This window comes from Homo sapiens, chromosome 2 (genome assembly GCF_000001405.40).
Source record: "Homo sapiens chromosome 2, GRCh38.p14 Primary Assembly".
Classification (NCBI taxonomy): Eukaryota; Metazoa; Chordata; class Mammalia; order Primates; family Hominidae; genus Homo; species Homo sapiens.
Window position 1 is genome coordinate 145,926,873 of NC_000002.12, and position 6,157 is coordinate 145,933,029.

Here is a 6,157-nt window from a genome sequence, read left to right on the forward strand (position 1 = left end):
GAGATAGGGCTCACACTAAGGTAGATTGGTCAGAACTGGTTTAGAGAAGTTTTTGTTTGATTTCCACATGTTTTCTTATTTTAAATTTGAACATGATGCCAACAATTAAAAATTAAGGTACTTTATATTGAAAAGAAAATCTATATTTTGGATGTTTCTTGAGAAGTCAGGACTAGCTCTTAACGTGGACCACGGCAGCTATCTGCTAGGGCTGTGCACTGGTGGCTTATTTTACCTGGGCACTTCTCCCCAGGTTGCCCAAGTTCCATTTCCAGTATTTATCATATAATACCTATCTCCCATAAGATTTTAGCTTCTGTCTCCTAGGCTAGCCTGAGACCCAAATGATTCTTATTTCTTCTAGCAAAATATAGAATCACAGCATTTTCTTATTTTCTTTCTGGCAACTTCCCCACCCACTCCCTAATGATAGTAATATAATGTGGAAAGTAAAACAAGCAGAAATGTTAAATAATCCATTGTGAGATAAACTGGCCACAATCTCTCCCACTCACTTGGAGCACTTCTCTGTAGAGCCCATCTCTATGCGTGAGAACTCAGCTTGAAATGAAATCAATGAAAAGACCAACTATTTTTATGTCTTTCTTAACCCGGGTTTACATGATCTTTAAAAGATATACTTTTCTGAATGGCAACAGCATTGCAGTTTGTGCAAACCTTCAGGCTACACTACAGATGGTGCCATTTAGCAATGGCCAAATTGCTAGTTACAACCCTCTAAAAAATGCAGAGTTTATCATAGAAACTCTGACAGTCGCCGGAATATCGTGTCTCTTTTGGGCATTGTTTTAACAAATGCATTTGAAAGAAAAATGTTCTCAGTTAACTACAGTTCCCAGAATACCTTGTAGAACATTCTGTCTCTATTGATCATAAACTGGCATAGCCACTGTGCTTCCTCTGGCAGAACTCAGGGGAAAGCAAGCAACTGCATTATATCATGTGACAAACTTTATGGAAAATACTAGTGTGCAGTTTTATCAGTATTTGCATTCTGTCAGTACAAGATAGATCTGAAATCTATTTTTATCCAACAGTTCTTATTAAACCAAGAAGATTGCCTGTTACTATATGTAGTTGTTTCAAGCAGTAGTGCCTGATGATACTTTTTGTAAACAATTGAGAATAAATCCAAACAAGCTAAAAAATGTTTATTGCAAAATACTGTAGTTCAAGAAAAATTACATCTGCATGGACTGCATATTTTACATGAAATTTATGGTGCAGTTTCTCTTCATTAACCACATCTCAGAGAATTTTCAAAGCATCAGCTTGCATATTATTAACATGTACTTAAAATAACAATATCGAAAGCTTCAAGATTAAAATAAAAGGTGAAATGTAAAATGTAAGGTGCCTTCAGTGTGTTTGTATACATGTAATTTGCTTTTTAATTAAAGTGAACTAGACCTTACCTAGCCCAGAGAGATTAATAAGTATCTCATTCTAGTACAACTATTCTCCTTAATAAAAGCAGATGGAATTCATTTTCAAAAGAAAAAAAATTAGTATTAACTATCATTGCTTCTTTTATGTGGTTAAACACATATAATTATTCTACCACATTTTTCATGGAAAGGAACAGTGACAAAAAGGCAATTACAGCATGTGAATTCAATCGAATTTTTTTCTATTACTCTGTGTTATGGATATGTGTTTTGTGGGGTGTTTGATTGGTTTTGTTTACTTTTTGCCACTTGTATGCATTCCCTATTATTTTACAGCTTGAAATTCTTGAAAAAAAATCTGTGTCATCAACTGTATTTACAATGCATGTAGTATTTTAACACATTTGAAAAGCTAAATATGGGCCATGGTGGCTCACACCTGTAATCCCAGTAATTTGGGAGGCCGAGGCAGGAAGATTGCTTGAGGCCAGGAGTTTGAGACCAAGCTGACCAACACAGCAAGATTAAAAATTAAAAACAAAATTATCTGGATGTGGCGGCACATGCCTGTGGTCCCAGATACTTAGGAGACTGAGGTGGGAGGATCTCTTGAGCCAGGGAGGTTGAGGCTGCAGCAAGCTATGATTGAACCACTACACTCTCGCCTGGGTGATAGAGCAAGACCCTGTATCCCCAAAAAATGTGAAATAGGAAAACTATTAATAAAGGAATCTCTGCAAATTCCGGTATTTTATTATCCAAGTGTTCTTTCTTGTCGGTTATACCTAGATCCTTGAGGGCACTCCTTCAAAGTCAGTAGGAGACGGATTCTGATATGTTATTTCCTCTATGCACAATTTCCATGTGTTATCATGGAATGACCATGATTCACGGAATTGACAGAACTGAATTTTAATCCAACTGTTATCTCCTAAACTGTGTGATGCTGGGCAAGTCAGTTAATCTGTCTGAGCTTCAGTTGTTTCATTTGAAAAAACAGCTAAGAATATCTGCTTCATAGAATTGAGAGGGTGATATGGTTTGGATCTGTGTCCCCACCAAATCTCATGTCAAACTGTAACCCTCAGTGTTGGAAGTGGGGCCTGGTGGGAGGTGATGGTATTATGAGGGTGGATTTCTCATAAGTGGTTTAGCAGCATCTACTTCGTGCTGTTCTCGTGACAGTGAGTGAGTTCTCACGAGATCTGGTCATTTAAAAGTTTGTGACATCTACCCAGCACACCTCTCTCTTCTCCTGCCATGTAAGACATACCTGCTTTCTCTTCACCTTCCACCATGATTGTAAGTTTCCTGAGGCCTCCCTAGAAGCAGAAGCCACTATGCTTCCTGTACAGCCTGCAGAACCATGAGCCAATTAAACCTCTTTTCTTTATGTATTACTGAGTCTCAGGTATTTCTTTATAGCAGTACAAGAACGGACTGATAGAGAGAGTTAAAGAGATAATCAGATAAGTGCTAATTAGTGTTCCCAGCACAAGTAAGCCCTTTAAAAAGGCAAAAACAATGACCATTATTTACTCTTCAAATGTAAAGTAATACCTGAAGGTGGTCCAAATCACCCTGAGTTTGTATAAAATGCTGTTTCTTTGTTTTTAATAATAGAGTCAAAATCCTTCACTTTTTAACTGCTAACCACCATTATTTACAAACTTCCCATGCTGGCATACCCCAAAACTTTCTTTCTAACTAAGCCTCCCATCAGTGGTGTACCTAACCCTGCCCTACATGTTCTCCAGGCTCCCCTAGTTTGCACTTGGTTCTCAATTTTGTCACTCTAATGAATTCCCAGTTGTCTTTCAATGATATCTCTTCAGATGCAACAAGATAGAAATAATCACCCACAGCTTCTCTATTAGAGCAGCATCAAAATCTTCTCCATGCATCTGTTGATATTGCTTCTTGGACTATAAGCTGTTTGAGCTATACCTTAGCGTTTCTCCAGCACTGATGCAATATCTGCAGGATGCCAGAAGAGAAGGAGTAACATTATTTGAAAAATACACCCTATGGAAAAGAAAGGAGAGTTCTAATACCTAAATGGGAGGTAATAAAACATTGTCAAAAGTTAGTAGAAGTCCACCTTTTAAGAAGGAAGAGTTGCAGTTTGTGCTAATGTTCCTCAATCCTTTGTTTTCAGGTTAGAACTCTCACATTTGTTTTGCTGGTTCACTCTGCCCGTGTTCTACAAAAGCCCCAGTTGCAGTCTGAGCTGTGGCTCAGCTTCCTCTCCTCATCATAGAATGTTGGCTCTGGGTAATCCTCCCCTAACCTGCCCAGTCTCAGGTAATTTAGGCAGTGAAAAGAATGCAATTCCAGTGATCTAGACATTTAAAAGTAATTCTTAGAACAGTAAAATGTCATTGCAGATAAGAAAACATCATTTGATAGTCAATATTTTTCGTCTTAATTATTGTTGCTCTAAAACATGTATTTTATTTGTTTCAACAGTTCTGAAATGTTTGCTAATGTTGCTTGCCATTTCTTTGCCAAAACCTACTCATTCAATTCCATTTGACCTGGACAATTCGACGGACACAAAGGCTGAAAACACTGCAGAAAAATCAGTCTCCATGTGCTCATCAGAGATTTTGGTGACTGAATCTTATTTTGGGTGGTGGAAGATGAAGTTATAAATCAGGATGTTTTTAAAATAGCTAAACTCTACGTAATGCCTCTATGATTTCCAAGTGAAAAATAAACTCAAAGGAAATTTGAAATGTAAAAGTCTGTAAATCTTTGTGAATGTTATGAATTTTGTACCATATTCATGTATTCCTTTGGAAAAAAATTGAATTATTTAAAATAAATTAAACAGAAGAGTCTTGTAATAATAGATTTGAACTCAGATGAATGCAGTCTTTAATTCTTTACTTTTCTGTCTTCTCATCTATGATTTATTCACAGACAAACTAGAGAAATCTCATTGATCTTCTCTTTAAATAAGATAATCTGATATATTTCTCGATGTATTTTTATTTGAGTAGTTCACATCTAAAAGGAACCCAAGTGCTCTTAACCCTTTTACTCTCCTACTGCACAGAGCTCTTAGGCTTCAGATCAGCACTGTTCTCCCTCAGCGGAATTATAGAGAACCATACAATTTGCTTTTTGGTTTTATAATATGTGCCATAAGAACTCAGAAAACAAAAATTCCCAGTTGTTTCATTTGCTAGCTAGAGCTCAAATCTTTACTACCCCCAAAATTCCAGCATTGAATTTCCAGGCCACCCCACAGCAACTTCATTTTAAAAATATGTTTGATTTTATTTTCCTAATCTTCTTGCAGCCTTTCTTTCTTTCCCTTTCCTCTCTATTCCACTGCTGCATGCTTTAATTTTGCTTTCAGTCGGTAGTTTAAAAACTTTAGCTTCTAATAACTGGAAAAAATGGTTATTTAAAGATAACTGCAACTTGCTTAACATGCCAGGCTATCATATGCTCAGTGCTTTGAAGCTGCAAATTAATGACGAGCAGGAACAGTGACTATCTTTCAGAAGAAACTGACCTCTTTCTAATGGCACATCGCTAATGTCATCTGTCTACTGCATCTCATTATGTGAATTTCACGGAGTTAAAAAAAAAAGTATCTTAAGGCTGTGCACAAATAAAAAGGACCTTCTAGTATTAAGCACTTTGAAAATTTTTGATCTCTCAAAACACCTTCCTTAGATACTGCTTCCCCCTTTTGTGCATGGCATGCTGCTTATGTCATCTATTCTCTGTGACTAATTATGTTAATTTTGTGCCATAAAAGTAACTGAAGGCTGTTAAGGAATAAAAGCTTTTGAGTGGCCTTATTTCATAAACACCCCTTTTGAACAAGGCACATTTAGTCATATTTGCAGTAACAGAAAGAGTCTTGTGCTAAAAATACAACAAAGGCTCTTGAATATGGCCATTTATTCCCACTTTATTAGGTAATTTATGAAAAAGTATGAAGGGAAGCCTTTTTGTTACTATAATTTGCATAAAGCTGGTGCCCCATTAATGAGATAACTTCCTGCCTTTTGTGTATCACCAGCTGGAAATAGAAATGGGGGAACTTTTCTGTAGCCCAATTACTTAACCTGCTGAGTTCAGAGTTGGAAAATAAACAGGATTCCTATTTGCCGAAGAACTTTATTTTGGTTCCTCTACCCTGATTTTTTAAAATAAAAATAATTAGAAGAAAGATGAAAGCAAAATTTTAAAACTAAAAATTTCAGCAAGGCTTAATGTTAGAATACGTATCTACTTCTGGAGAATATTACTTATTTAATAATCATATTTTCATCATTAGAGGAAAATTCTGATCTACTTCTGCTTTCACTGATTGGATCAAATAACATTTGATTATCCATTTGAGTATATGGAACTATAAGTATGACAAAAGAAAAAAAATTGTGAATAAATTCTAGACAACTTTTTGTGGGAGAAAGGGAGCAAATATTATGATCTGCAGTCCTTCAATAAAAGATATTTAAAAATTTCATAATCATCATAATTGTATACTACTGAAAAATACCTTGGTAATACAATACATAACATGATAGCTATTTATTAAGGCCCCAAATATGCCCAAAATAGTACAAAATTTTGCCATGTACGGTAGATATTCAATATATACAGTAAACACATAGAAGAATAAAATAGGGGCAAAAGAAAAGGGATGATTCTGAAGTTATAACTTGTTTTTACACATGCTCACATACACACACACACACACAATATTAGTAAGGCTTTGCTTA

The 6,157-nt window shown here is 35.8% G+C and overlaps 1 annotated feature.

The window, feature by feature from the left end:
* Nucleotides 4,610–5,659: an enhancer, noted in NCBI's record as "VISTA enhancer hs649". NCBI's record gives its function as "enhancer in: midbrain (mesencephalon)[4/6] | forebrain[4/6] | cranial nerve[4/6]" and the evidence as "EXISTENCE:transgenic organism evidence [ECO:0001131][PMID:17130149]".